The sequence below is a fragment of the Homo sapiens genome, chromosome 6 (assembly GCF_000001405.40).
Source record: "Homo sapiens chromosome 6, GRCh38.p14 Primary Assembly".
Taxonomy (NCBI): Eukaryota; Metazoa; Chordata; class Mammalia; order Primates; family Hominidae; genus Homo; species Homo sapiens.
Window position 1 is genome coordinate 145,857,454 of NC_000006.12, and position 15,062 is coordinate 145,872,515.

At 35.3% G+C, this 15,062-nt stretch overlaps 1 protein-coding gene and 1 long non-coding RNA gene across 9 annotated transcripts in view, besides 1 other annotated feature; one reads left to right on the forward strand and one right to left on the reverse strand.

The window, feature by feature from the left end:
* Positions 1 to 15,062, forward strand: part of EPM2A-DT (EPM2A divergent transcript) — a 151,717-nt gene that overhangs the window by 122,585 nt on the left and 14,070 nt on the right. The window lies entirely within an intron of this gene.
* SHPRH (SNF2 histone linker PHD RING helicase) overlaps positions 385 to 15,062 on the reverse strand; it is a 106,521-nt gene continuing 91,843 nt past the window's right edge. For 2 of the 6 annotated variants that reach the window (XM_047418600.1, XM_047418601.1), the window contains exons 30-31: positions 6,935 to 7,038; positions 385 to 4,239 (exon numbers count right to left, since the gene is read on the reverse strand). In XM_047418600.1, the coding sequence (XP_047274556.1) occupies positions 3,974 to 4,239; positions 6,935 to 7,038 (370 nt within the window). In that variant the 3' untranslated portion in view covers positions 385 to 3,973. Of the gene's footprint in view, positions 6,588 to 6,934; positions 7,039 to 15,062 lie in introns of those variants that run through there. The other 4 variants (XM_006715443.5, XM_047418603.1, XM_006715439.5 and 1 more) reach the window with 3 other exon arrangements.
* Positions 7,770 to 7,939: an enhancer, noted in NCBI's record as "active region_25228". NCBI's record gives its function as "activates an Ori minimal core promoter by ATAC-STARR-seq in GM12878 lymphoblastoid cells {active_cell/tissue: GM12878}" and the evidence as "EXISTENCE:reporter gene assay evidence [ECO:0000049][PMID:35858748]".

The following is a 15,062-nucleotide window of genomic DNA, read 5'->3' on the forward strand; positions in this document are numbered from 1 at the left end:
ACTAGGAGGAGAAAAATGAAATGTACTAGTGTAAGTCTCTTGTACTGTACATGAAGTGGTATAATATTGCTTGAAGATAGACAATGGTAAGCTAGTAATATGCTGTAAACAACCACTAAAACAGGAGCAATAATAACAATGACACAAACCACATCAAAATAACTACATCTAATAAACAAAGAATTTTAAAAATATAATTAATACAAAAGAAGACTGGAAAAGAGAAAAGGGGGAACAAACGACTCATGGGACAGAGCAAAAACAAACAGCAAGGTGATAGACCTAGGCCTTACAATATCAACTATCACATTAAATGTAAATATTGTAACTGCCCCAAATAAAAGGCAGAGATTGTCAGAGTAGAAATAAAAAAATAAGACTATATTTTGCTTGCAAGAAGTGCACTTTTACTCAACCATAAGAAATCAATCAACACAATTAAAACGTGTTTACAATATTTGCACAGACCTTCCACCAAAGATACATGGATGGCAAAGAAGCATATGATATGACATACAATATCATTAGTTATAGGGAAATGCAAATCAAAACCACAATGTGATACCACTATAGCCCTAGTAGAATGTCTAAAATTAAGGAATGACTATACTAAGAGTTGGTGAGGATGTGAAGAAATGGGAACATTCATACTTTTTTGTGTGTGGAAATTTAAAACGGTATGGAGTTTGGAAAACAGTTTAGCAATTTCTTAAAAAGGTCACCACACCTACCATATAATCCAGTCATTCTACTCCTATGAATTTACCTAAGGGGGCAAAAGCTTATGTTTACACAAAGACTTATTCATGTATGCTCATAGCCATTTTATTTGTAATAGTCAGAAACTGAAAAGAACATAAACATCAACAGATGAATGAATAAATATATTGTGGTGTGGCCATAAATGGAAAGTTACTTAGCAATATAATTTTTAAAAAAGATTTATATATGAAACAATTTGGATGAATCTTAAAATAAATATACTTACTGAAAAAAGCCATACCAAAAAAAGTGCATGTTGTTTGATTCCATTTATATAGACTTCTAGAAAATGTAAAATAATCTCCAGTGATAAAAAGCAGATCTGGTTGGGAAGAGGGGAATGAGTAGAGGAAAACAAGGGAGAGAGGGATTACAAAGAAGCATGAGGAAACTTTTTGGGGTAATGAATATGTTCACTATCTTGACTGTGGTGATGGTTTCATGGATGTCAAAACTTATCAAATTTAACATTTTAAATATGTGCTGTTGATGAAATGTGAATCATACCTCAGTAAAACTTAAAACAACGATGGTTTTCTGCTGAGCCTTTCTTCCTCTTCAATATTCAATAAATGTGTCACAGAACTACAGAAACCTTAAAGGCTCAAAATGCTAATGCCGGATGAAAGAATAATCTGGCATACTTTCAACAGGCATAGAGAACTGGAGTGATATGGTACTTTAGATTTCACGGCTCTTCATGACTGGGCGGATAGAAATGGACTTACTTGTGGTTGATCTTGACTTTGCTTTTCTCATTAGTCTGTATTTTTATGTAATTCATACCATATTAAAATGATAGTTTGATATTAACAAATATACTTTTAATTATTATGGACTAAGTATTCTAGATAGTATAAAAAATACAATGCATGCAAAACAACCCAAAACTTTTCCTTGGGAGATCTTTGTATGTACATGTACTTATAGATGATCAGATAAAAACAAAATGTATGTCTAACCAATTTTGAAGAAATGAATCCCAATTTTAAATTGAGTAGAATGCTAACAATGCAATCTCACCCAATTAACCTGTGATATTAATTGTAATTTTCTCTGGAAGTTTAGTTGTTACATGTCTCTAATTGATCTGTATTTATTTTAGAAAGTGTTAAACTGTTCAAATGTTCAAATGATTGATAAATCATTGATTTTTATTTAGTATGGCACTAGGCATCAATTAAAGATTTTATAGTTCAATTGCACATTGAACTATACATCATTATTATGTTCAGAATAACTTATCCATGTAGACAAATCGATGAGTGGAGATATTGACAGCAAATCAGAAATAAAATTGTCTGCTTTACAAAAGGTAATGTTAGAATGCATCAATTTCAAATAATGAAATAAATTTGTAATGCCAAAACAAAGAAATAAAACAGCAACCATTGTAAAAGTCACAGATCAAGCAGCAGCAAGACTTCAGTTAGAATGAGTAAATGATAGTGAAAATTTACTGAATTTGCTTCTAAATTATGTTGTTTCTGATTCCAAACCAATGTAAAAAGTTGTGAAGCTGTTGTAACAATACCCAAGCAGCTTTGTGGGCTGTAGATACCATAATGAAAAAGAGTAGCAGAATGTGTTGGAATGGCAAGAAGAGGAGAAAGTGCTTTGGGACTTAAATTGAATTCTCTCTCTGTTCTTTCTGAGTGGCAAATGTGAGTATGTTTTACAGATACATTAATGGTGTCTAAGGTGGGTTTTTGTTTAACCTATATTAGTCTCTAGACAACAATTAGCTTTTTATAATCTAAATTTGAATTTTATATGAATATAATTGCCTATACTGCTAACATCATTTTGAAACAGGCATTTATAGTTAATGAATTAAAAGTGTATTTCTTACAACTATCATACTCAATGGTGAAAACCTGAAAGTTTTTTCTCTAAGACCTGGAAAAAGGCAAGGATGTCCTCTCTCACCACATCTATTCAATATAGTATTGAAAGTCCTAGCAAAAGCAATCCAGAAAGGAAAAGTAAAACTATCTTATATCATGCACATAACATGACCTTACATGTAGAAAATCCTAAAGGTGCCACAAAAAAACTGTTAGAACTAATAAGTGAACTCAGTAAAGTTACATTACAGAACACAAAATTAATATGCAAAAATTTGTTGTGTTTCTACACACTAAACAACCTATCCATAAAGAAAATTTAAAAAATATTTATAATAGCATCTAAAAGAATAAAGTACTTAGAAATAAACTCAACCAAGTAAGTGAAAGACTTGTACATTGAAAACTACAAAACATTGATGAAATAAAATTTAAAAGATACAAATAAATAGAAGGACATTCTGTGTTCATGGATTTGAAGAACTGATATTGTTAAAATGTCCATACTTCCCCAAACAATCTACAGATTCAATGCAATCTTTATCAAAATCCCACTGGCAGTTTTCCAGAAATAGAAAAAAGAATCCTAAAATTTACTTGAAACTACAAAAGACTCCAAATAGCCAAAGAAATTTTGAGCACTAAGAACAAAACCAGAGGTATCACATTCTATTACATCAAAACATATTATAAAGCTACAGTAATCAAAACAGTATGGTACTGGAATAAAAACAGATATATGGGACAATGAAACAGAATAGAGAGCCCAGAAATAAACCCACACATATATTGCCAACTGATCTTTGACAAGGATGCCAAGAATATACAATGAGGAAAAGATAATCTATTCAGTAAATGGTGTCGGGAAAATTGAATATCCACATGTAAAGCATGAAAGTGGGCCCTATATACAAAAATTAACTCGAAATGGATTAAATACTTACATGTAGAACTGGAAACAATAAAAGTCTTTAAATAGAGGAAAAAGTTTGCAGACATTGGACTGGGCAATGATTTCTGGGATATCACACCAAAAACACAGGTAAAAAACAAAAAATAAACAAGTAGGATTACATAAAATGTAAAGCCTTTGCACAGTAAAGAAAACAATTAACAAAATGAAAAGGCAACCTAGGGAATGGGGGAAAATGTTTGTAGACTTTAATACCTACAACTCAATAGAAAACAACAACAAATAATTTGATTTAAAAATGGGCAAAGGACCTGAACCAACATTTATCTAAAGAAGACATACAAAATGACCAATAGGTATATGAAAATGTGTACAACATTACTAGTCATTAGTGAAATGTAAACGAAAACTACAGTGAGATATCACCTCATACATGCTAGACTGGCTATTATCAAAAAAAAAAAAGGAGAACAAGTGTTGGTGAGAATGTAGAGAAAAGGAATTCTGTACACTGTTGGTGGGAATGTAAATTGGTACAGCCACTATGGAAAACAATATGGAGATTTATCAAAAAATTAAAAATAGAATTGCCATTTGATCCAGCAATCCCACTTCTGGGTATATATCCAAAGTAAATTAAATCAGTATCTTGAAGAGATATCCATCCTCCCATATTCGTTGCAGCATTATTCACAGTAGCCAAGATATGGAAACAACCTGTGTTCATTGACAAATGAATCGACAAAGAAAACATTATATACATGTATGTATACATATACACACCCACATACATGGATATAGATGTAAATGTAGACACACACACATACACACAGTGGGATATTATTCAGCCCATAAAAAGGAGGAAATTCTCCTATCTGTGATAATATGGATGAACCTGGAAGACAGTATATTAAGTGAAATAAGCCAGACGCAGAAAGACAAACACAGCATGATCTCACTGATATGTAAAATCTAAAATAGTCATACAAATAGCAGCAGAGAGTAGAATGGCAGTTGTCAGGGACCAGGGGTGGGAGAATGGGGTGATGTTGGTCAAAGGTTGCAAAGTTTCATTTATGTAGGATGAGTAGATTTTGGAGATCTACTGTACAAAAATGGGGCCTATGAATAACAATACTGTATTGTATATTTTAAAATTTGCTAAGATGGTAGAGCTTGTGTTAAATGCTCTTACCAAAAAGAAGGCCGGGCACGGTGGCTCACGCCTGTAATCTCAGCACTTTGGGAGGCCGAGGCAGGCGGATCACGAGGTCAGGAGATTGAGACCATGGTGAAACCCCGTTTCTACTAAAAATACAAAAAAAAAAATTAGCCGGGCGCGGTGGCGGGTGCCTGTAGTCCCAGCTACTCGGGAGGCTGAGGCAGGAGAATGGCGTGAACCCGGGAGGCGGAGCTTGCAGTGAGCCGAGACTCCGTCTCAACAAAACAAAACAAAACAAAACAAAAAAACAAAAACAACAACAACAAAAAACAAAAAGAAAAAACAAAACAACAAAAATGGAGGAGGAAGAAACTTTTGGAGGTGTTGGTTAAGTTTATAGCATTGATTTTGGTAACAGTTTCATGGGAGTATACTTTTCCCCAAACATAGCAAGTTTACATAATGGCAAATATTGTGTCTTGTTTTTACGTTCACAGCATTTTGCACAGAGCTTGGCAGTTACATAGTAGATGTTGAACAATTTCTTCTGTGTTTCAGCTGTCAAACTGTTCTGAATGTGTGAGGTACTGTATTTATCTTTGAAACAGTATTTTCATGTCTGTGAAGTGCAGTTTCCTGTGTAATACTAATAAAGGGGTATAATCCTTATTTTCCTATTTTTTAAATCAAATTCTCATAAGTGTCTTAGAAAACCCTCTCACATGCAAGGTATAAGGTTACTTCTTTTTTCTGGATTTTAGAACTAGGTAGGCACGATGTATTATTAGTCTTTGTATTCCCAATGTCTGACACATAGTATATGCTCAGTTTATTTTAGTTGAAAGATTAAATGAATGATTAAGAGCAAATTGTGTAGTGTCCAATGTCACTGGACAGGAGTTTGAATCTAAGGATATCATGTATTGAACAACAATTATGTATGAGACCCTGTGCTAGAGCTGAGGATACAAAGGTGAATACAGGAATCTATCCAGCCTGAAAGAGGCAGCTATGCAAAAAGATCAATTATATATCTCATTGGAAGTGCTGTACCCCAAGTATGAATGAAGATCTATGGAATTACTAGTAAAGGAGACTAGATGATACTTGTGGTGAGACTTGAAAATGAGAGACGTGATTGCCAATGATTTGATTTAAGCTAATCAAGGACAAAAAATCTTTAGAATAACATGTTGAACTTAACCAAGCCTGCTTGCAAAAGGGTAGACATAAATAAGATCAGGTTTCCAAAGGAATGGATGGATAAATGCAGATATATTGCAATGTATTTCCTGAGTTTAAGTTGCATAGCTCCTTCAACAAACAACTATTTTAAGTGATCTGGATAAGATTGACAGTGGTAATTTGTCATTTTGCAATAGCCCATGTTATTAAGACAAAGAGGAAGGAGAGCATTCTGAGTAAAAAGAACAGCTTATGCAAAGGTGCACAGAAGTTGAGAGGACAGTGAGCTTAATGTGACCAGAGTTTTTAGGGGAGAGTGTCTGAGATGGACTGGGCTAGTTAATAAAGGACAAATTTTTGCCTCTTTAGGAGTTCAGGACGTGGTCAATGTCAAAGAGGGGCCAGTAAAGGTTTGTAATTAGGGAAGAGACATGATCAAAGTGTTTTCGAGAGGGTAAATTTCACAAGCAGCATCTTCTGGCGGCTGCTTCCTACTGTCCTTAGTAATTCATTAAGGAGCTGGCTGTCAGAAAGCAGGACTGAGACTCGGTAGGATATAAGTCAATGAAGAATTATGATTATTCATAGTGTATTACTAGCAAATTGTTGCTAAATAGATTTTGTTAAAATATCTTGTGATATGTGCATATCTATTATTTATCCACATAAGTAATTTGCATCATGTGAGTGTCTGGCTTGTGCTGTGGTCCCAGGAAACCTGCAAAGCAAACCATCATATATAAACTTACATTTCTTTATGTGAGTGCTTTATTATTTCATCTTGTTGACAAATTAGATCACTTCCCCTCTCCTTGTCGTATGACCATAACTTAAGACAAATCTCTTAGGTCTATCATCTATATTCTCACTTCCTCATTTCTTTATTCTTCATGTTTCACAATTCCTTAATTTAGACCCTAATTTGGGTTTCTTAATGTTTATTCCTTACAGACATGTATTACTGAATAAGCCCCATAATTTTTACTTGTGCAAAACATCTCTAAATTGAAAAAGATGATAAAAAACAAATCAAAAAATTTTTAAAGTAAATAAAAAACAACTCACAAATCACCAAATCTCTCAACTGTAGAATGGCAGTTGTCAGGGACCAGGGGTGGGAGAATGGGGTGATGTCATGAAAACAAAATAACGCCTGTTCCTCAAAAAACCTGTGGAAATAAAAAATTAAAAATTAAAAAATAAAAAATAAAAACAGCAACAACAAAACAATAAAGCCTCTTGGAAAGAGGCTGTATTTAGCAATCTGGTACAAAGAAAGAAATTTTTTTTTTTTTTTTTTTGGGTAAGCCACTTAGCTTATGAACAAAATAATAGCCCATGAATTAAATTTTAAAATGTTTGGAGAATAAAGCTAAGGTTAAAAAAAAAGAGAAACTGCATTCTTTCCAAGTAAAAAGCCCAAAGGGATCAAAGTTTGATGATGCCCTAGATTCTGTGACAGTCTACACTGAAATAATTATTTGTTCCTTTTGAATTGCCACGTTTTAGGTCATTAGTAGTGAGCAAATGTATTAATGCCACTATCATTTTTTGCTAATGTTCTTCTTTCTTCAGCCTAGTAATTTGAAACTATCAAATAAAATTTATAAACACACACACTCACACACACACACACACACACACACACACACACACTTTGAGACCGTGGTGCCTTTCTATTTATTTCTAGTATGGAACATTCAGAAACATAAATTGTAACATTTTTGTAAACTGCTATAATTTCATTATTTGGATTGAACATCTTCTTGCCCATAATTGTGACCATCTCAGGTACCTGGCTTAAGCCTGTTAGTTAGTTCACATATTGGCATTGCTATAGATGGAATTATTTCCCCATGCAAATTCAACTATTGAAGTCCTAACCCCTAATGTTATGACGTTTAGAGATGGGGCCTTTGGGAGATATTAGATTTAGATGAGATTATGAAGGTGGAGCCCTCATGGTGAGATTAGTGCCATTATAAAGAGATACCAGAGAGCTTTCACTTTCTCTTTCCCATGTGAGGACATAGAAGTAGATGAAAAGATGGTTGCTAAAAAGAGTTCTCACCAGAACCCAACCATGTGACATCCTGATCTTGGACTGCCAGCCTCCAGAACTGTGTGAAAATGGATGAATAAATGAATGAACGAATAAAATCTATTGTTTCCACTGAGTCTATGGTATTTTGTTATGGCAGCCTGAGCTGACTAAGACAGGTGGCCTTTGACCCTGTTTAGGAGATTCCTGTCAGGATTTAGAAGCAGACGTTTAATTTCCATCACAGTTCAAGCTACTAGTCCAGCTGCAATAAGAAGCAACATGCATTTGAGTAAGTTCTGAAGCGGGCTTCATTTCAGGAGCTGTGCCTCAGTATGGGCAGAGGCCCGGGCAATCTCTCCAAGAGTTGGGTTCAGCTGCATCTTGGCTTACTGGCTGCCTCAGTGAGAATTTCTAAACAAAGCAGAATAGCAGGAAACCTCTGACCAGTTTACCTTTTATGCTTTCATTTCCTATTTTTTTTCTTTTTTGGTAACTTTCTTTGACTTAAGGTGACAAAAGAGCACCTTTTGCAGAAGCTAGGACAATGTGGTAGAGTGAAACAAACCTGAATTTGGTGTCAGAAAGTCTGAGATTCACATCCAGGCCCTATTTGGAAATCTATGCATTTATGCATCCTTCCTCTGGTGATCTGATTCCATGGAGCTATTTTACAACTCTTTGTTAAACTTACCTGGTAGTCACACAAATTCTGTCCTGTGCACCACAAGCTCTATTGACTTCCCTCTTCCTCACCTTTATCCCCAAGGGGGAAAAACAGTTGCTTTCATTTGCCATTAATTTCAATATTCTTTTATGCCATATAAATTTGTGCTTCTTGACTTCTTTTTTGAAATGGTTGTAACATCTGTCTGCTTCCCTCATTGAATGTGTTAAACAAAATCTTTAACGTCTATTCATTTTTATATCTGTATGAAAGTCACACTTTAACCTTTTTCTGAAAATTATTTTTTAACACCCAGCTTCCTCATTTGGAAAATGGGGATAATAATAACTCTCTTATCCTCCTTTCTACATTTCTGGGATTAAACGAGTTATAATTAACTGGATTGAAATGATCATTAAGGGTTGAAAATGTGTCTTATCTACTTTTGTTTTCCTAACACCTTGGAAAGAGAATCTGCACATCAAAGTGCTCTTTATGATAAAATACAAGACAAACAGGACGTGGTTTTATCATTATCAGACATTATTAGCAGCATGAGTGGCAGCAACCTCTGACCTCCTTTTGCAAGTGGCCAGAGGGTTCATGTCAGGTGGCATTCAAAGAGCCAAAGGTGTAGAAGTCTCACGCTGGGCCAACAGGGACGTAGATACTTGACAGTGGTTTCCAATTCCAGGGAGGAGGCCACTTATGGAAGAGAAGGCTTAAAGGAGACTGGAAGATTTGCTTCTTGAGTTCTGGGTCCTTTGCCACCAGAGATTCAGGGAACAAAAGTGTTTTCTCCACACAAACATTAGCTTGTCTAGTACACAATCACTTGTCACTTCTGGCCTTTGCCTGTGCTGATTGATGGGGGAAGGTAGACAGAGAGGGGACAGGGGCAACATTTCTGGTATGCAAAAATCTTACAGTGAATATAAAGATTTGTCAACACACTTCAAGGTTGCCAACAGATTGGCCAGATCTGTATTCTATTATTTATATTAAAAACACTTCAGTTCCAGCATATAAAATCTAAAACTTTTAAATGGGAAGTTAAAGCTCAAATTTGAGGTCACTATAGGGGAAATATTCTCTGCTATTTTTTAACTGTTTCAGTATTTTTAGTTTCACTTTTCTACTCTTCGTCACTCTCTGATCTCAGAAAGAACAGGTGCACTAAACATCTTGTTCATGAACATTACCAACTCAAGGTTCACAGGAAGGCAACTTGCATTCATTAGATGAGTATCCAAATTCATCCCTCTATCACACTGTAGTAGACTGATTAATGACCCCCAAAATACCAGGTCTTAATCCCTCCCTGTACATGTTATCTTATATGGAAAAATGACTCTTATAAAAGGAATTAAGCAAAGAATTTGAGATGGGGGAGATTATCCTGGATTAACCTGGTGGACCCTCCATGCAGTCACAGGTGTCACTACAAGAGAGAGGCAAAATGAAACAGGAGGATCACTTGAGTCCGGGAGGCTGAAGCTGCAGTGGGCTGTGATTGCACTGCTGAACGTGAACCTGGGCAACAGAGTCACACGCTGTCTTCAAAAAAGAATATATATATATATATATATATATATATATATAGAGAGAGAGAGAGAGAGAGAGAGAGAGAGAGAGAGAGAGAGGTGAAGGAAGATTTGACACAGACAGAAGAGAAAAGGCACTATAACCACAGAGGTAGTTTGGAGTATGTCACCATTAGCACCAGAAGCTGCCCTGGCAACACTTTGATTTTATCCCAGAAAAACTGATTTCAGTTTCTGCTCTCCAGAACTGAGAGAATTAATTCCTGCGGTTCTAAGCCACTCAGTTCATGGAAATTTGTTACAACACTCACAGGAATTAAATACAGATACCTCCACAAAAACTCTCTTCTAGACTAAAAACAAAACAAAACAACTTTGCCAAGTGCATTAGTTTGCTAGGGCTGCCATAACAAAGTACCACAAACTGGGTGGCTTAAACAACAGAAATTGTTTTTCTCACAATTCTAGAGGCTAGAAGTTTGAGGTCAAGTTGATTTATTTTGGGTTGATTTCTTCTGAGGCCTCTTTCCTTAGCTTATAGATGGTGCCTTCTTCCTGTGTTCTGACATAGTTTTCCCTCTGTACCTGTCTGTGTCCAAAGCTCCTCTTCTTGTAAGAGTGGCAGTCCAATTGGATTAGGGTCCACCAATATGACCTCATTATACCTAAATTACCTCTTTAAAGGCATTGTCTCAAAACACAGTCATATTCTAAGGCCCTGGGGGTTAGGACCTCAACGTACAACTTTTTTGAAGTGGAGATACAATTCATCCCATAATGCCAAGTAACATCATCTCTGTTTCTACACATGAGGAATGACCAAAGCCCACAACTCTGCTTAATATCACACAGCTGATAAGTTGTGAAGCTTGGATTTAAACCCAAGTTGCTCTGAGTTCTAAAAAAATGTATTTGGGGGTAGAATTAACTTTTGTTGAATGTTATTTTTTATTAGGAAGTTTTAATAGGTCACTTGTTTTCAGTCCGGCTAAGATGAGGTTATCAGTGTTAAGGTACGACACAGGAAGACAGTCAATGAAAATTAAAGAATCAAGAGAAGATAATCTAGCTTTCTTAGAAGAGTACTGTTTTTTATACTTCATCCCTCTAGTCTTTTGCTTAGTATATTCAATCTGAAGCTGAAGAAGGATGTACAGCCTCAGCCGTCAATTGTTGCAATATAACAAAGAAGTCTACTGTGAAACAATCATTCTGATAGCTGATTTCTTGAAATGTCATTTTTGGGACAAATGTAAACATCTACAATGAACTATTTGTTATTTTTAGGAAAAAGTTAAAAATATTGAATTATAATTGTTTGCTTTATTATTCTTAAATAATAATGCCTCTCATATTTATTTCATGAGATATGAGTATGTTTAGTTTCATAAGAAACTGCTAGACTGTCTTCCAAAGTGGCTGTACCATTTTGCATTCCCACTAACAATGAATGCTTTACATCCTCACCAGCGTTTATTATTGTCAGTGTTTTAGATTTTGGCCATTCCAGTAGGTGTGTATCAATATCTTGTTTCAATCTGCATTTCCCCGATGCATTCACCATCTATTTCCTTTTTTGAGATACCTGTTAAGGTCTTTGGCTCATTTTAAATCAAGTTGTTTATTTTCTTATTGTTGAGCTTTAAGTATTTTTATGTATTTGGATAACAGTTCCTTATCAGATATGCGTTTTGAAAATATTTTCTCCCATTCTGTAGCTTGTCTTTTCATTCACTTGACAGTGGCATTTGCAGAGCAGAAATTAGTTTGAATGAAGTATAGCTTATCAATTCTGTTTTGGATTGTGCCTCGGGTAGTGTAGTCAAAAAGTCATTGCCAAACCCAAGGCGATCTAGATTTTCTTCTATGTTATTTTCAAGGAGTGTTATAATTCTGCATTTTAAATTTAAGCCTGTGATTCATTTTGAGTTAATTTTTGTGAAGGGTATAGATCCAGTGATTTGTGTGTGGATGTCCATTTGTTCCAGAACCATTCTTTGAGAAGACAATCTTTGCTTCATTTTATTGCCTTTGCTGTTTTATCAAAGATTAGTTGGCTATATTTATGTGGGTCTATTTATGGGTTTTCTATTCCTTCCATTGATCTAGTTGTCCTTTCCTTTACAAATACCACACTGTCTTGATTACTATAGCTTTATAGTAAGTCTTGAAGTTAGATACTATCAGTCTTCTGACTTTGTTCTTCTCCTTCAATATTGTTTTGGCTACCTTGGTTTTTCTTTTCTTTTTTTTTTTTTTGCCTCTCCATATAAACTTTAAAATTAGTTTGTTCATAGTCACAAAATAATGTGTTGGGATTTTACTAGGGATTACGCTGAGCCTATAGATCAGGTTGGGAAGAACTAAGGTCTTGAGAATATTGAGCCTTGCTATCCACAAACATGGACTATCTCTTCATTTATTTAGTTATTCTTTGATTTTTTTTCTTCAGTGTTTTGTAGTTTTTCTCATGTAGATATTGTATGTATTTTGCTAGATTTATACCTAAGTATTTCATTTTTGGGGGGTGCTAAAGTAAATGGTATTACATTTTTAATTTTAAATTCTACTTGTTCATTGCTGGTATATAGAAAAGCAATAGAATTGTATATATTAGTCTTCTCTTACAACCTTTCTATAATCTCTTATTAGTTCCAGAAGGGTTTTTTTGTCAATCGTTTCAGATTTTTTTTTTTTTTTTTTTTGAGATGGAGTCTCACTCTGTCGCCCAGGCTGGAGTGCAGTGGTGCAATCTTGGCTCACTGCAAGCTCTGCCTCCCGGGTTCACACCATTCTCCTGCCTCAGCCTCCTGAGTAGCTGGGACTACAGGCACCCACCACCACACCCAGCTAATTTTTTTGTATTTTTAGTAGAGATGAGGTTTCACCATGTTAGCCAGGATAGTCTTGATCTCCTGACCTTGTGATCCACCCGCCTCAGCCTCCCAAAGTGCTGGGATTACAGGCTTGAGCCACTGCGCCTGGCCTCAGATTTTCTACATACATGATCATGTCATCTGTGAACAAAGACAGTTTCATTTCTTTTTTCCCAGTCTGTATACCTTTTATTTCCTTTTGTTGTGTAGCATTAGCTAGGACTTCAAGAACAATGTTGAAAAGGACTGGTAAGAGGGAGTATCCTTGCTTTGTTCCTGATCTGAGAGGGAAACTTTCAAGTTTCTCACCATTAAATATGATGTTAGCTGTAGGGTTTTTGTAGATATCCTTTATCAGGTTGAGGAAGTTCCTCTTTATTTGTAATTTACTAAGAGTGTTTATTAAGAATGGGTGTTGGATTTTGTAAAATGCTTTCTTTTTGCACCTACTGATATGTTCATGTGATTTTTCTTCTTAGGCTCTTCATTCGATGTACAAAAACCACAAGATTATCTAAATAGATGCAGAAAAGGCCTTCGATAAAAATCCTCATTCCTTCATGTTAAAAACTCTCAATAAACTAGGTATTGAAGGAACATACCTCAAAATAATAAGAGCCATTTATGACAAACTCACAGCCAGTGTCCTTACTGAATGGGCAAAAGCTGAAAGCATTCCCCTTGAAAACCAGCACAAGACAAGTTTGCCCTCTCTCCCAACCCCTATTCAATATAGTATTGGAAGTTATGGCCACGGCAATCGGGCAAGAGAAAAAAATGAAGAGTATTTAAATGGGAAAAGAGGAAGTCAAACTATCTTTTTTTGCAGGTGACATAATCCTATATCTAGAAAACCCATTGTCTCAACCCAAAAGCTTCTTAAGCTGATAAGCAACTTCAGCAAAGTCTCAGGATAAAAAATCAAAGTGCAAAAATTGCTATACACCAACAACAGGCAAGCCAAGAGCCAAATCATGAATGAGCTTTGATTCACAATTGCTACAAAAAGAACAAAATACCTAGGAATACAGCTAACAAGGGAAGTGAAGGACCTCTTCAAGGAGAACTACAAAGCACTGCTCAAAGAAATCAGAGATGATGCAAACAAATGGAAAAACGTTCCATGCTCATGGATAGGAAGAATCAATATTATGTAAATGGTCATACTGCCCAAAGCAACTTATAAATTCAATGTTATTCCCATTAAATTACCACTGACATTCTTCACATAATTAGAAAAAACTATTTTGAAATTTATATGGAACCAAAAAAGAGCCTGAATACTGAAAGCAATCCTTAGCAAAAAGAACAAAGGTGGAGGCATCAGGCTAGCTGACTTCAAACTATACGATAGGGCTACAGTAACCAAAATAGCACGGTACTGGTACAAAAACAGAGACATAGACCAATGGAAAAGAATAGAGAATACAGAAATAAGACTGCACACCTACAACTGTCTCATCTTTGACAAACCTGACAAAAACAAGCAATGGAGAAAGGATTCCCTATTTAATAAATGGTGCTGGGAGAACTAGCTAGCCATATGCAGGATATTGAAACTGGCACCTTCCTTACGCCTTACACAAAAATCAACTCAAGATGGATTAAAGACTTACATGTAAAACCCCAAACTATAAAAACACTAGAAGAAAACCTGGGCAATACCATTTAGGATATAGGCATTGGCAAAGATTTCATGATGAAAACACTAAAAGCAATTGCAACAAAAGCAAAAATTAGCAAATGGGTCTAATTAAACTAAAGAGCTTCTGCACAGCAAAAGGAACTATTAACAGAGTAAACAGACAACCTACAGAACGGGCGAAAATTGTTGCAATCTATGTATCTGACAAAGCCCTAATATCCAGAATCTATAAGGAACTTAAACAAATTTACAAAAAAAAGCAACCCCATTAAAAAGTGGGCAAAGGACATGAACAGACACTTCTCAAAAGAAGACATACATGTGGCTAACAAACATGAAAAAAGCCTTCACATCACTAATTATTAGATAAATGCAAATCAAAACCAAATGAGATACCATCTTACATCATTCAGGATGGTG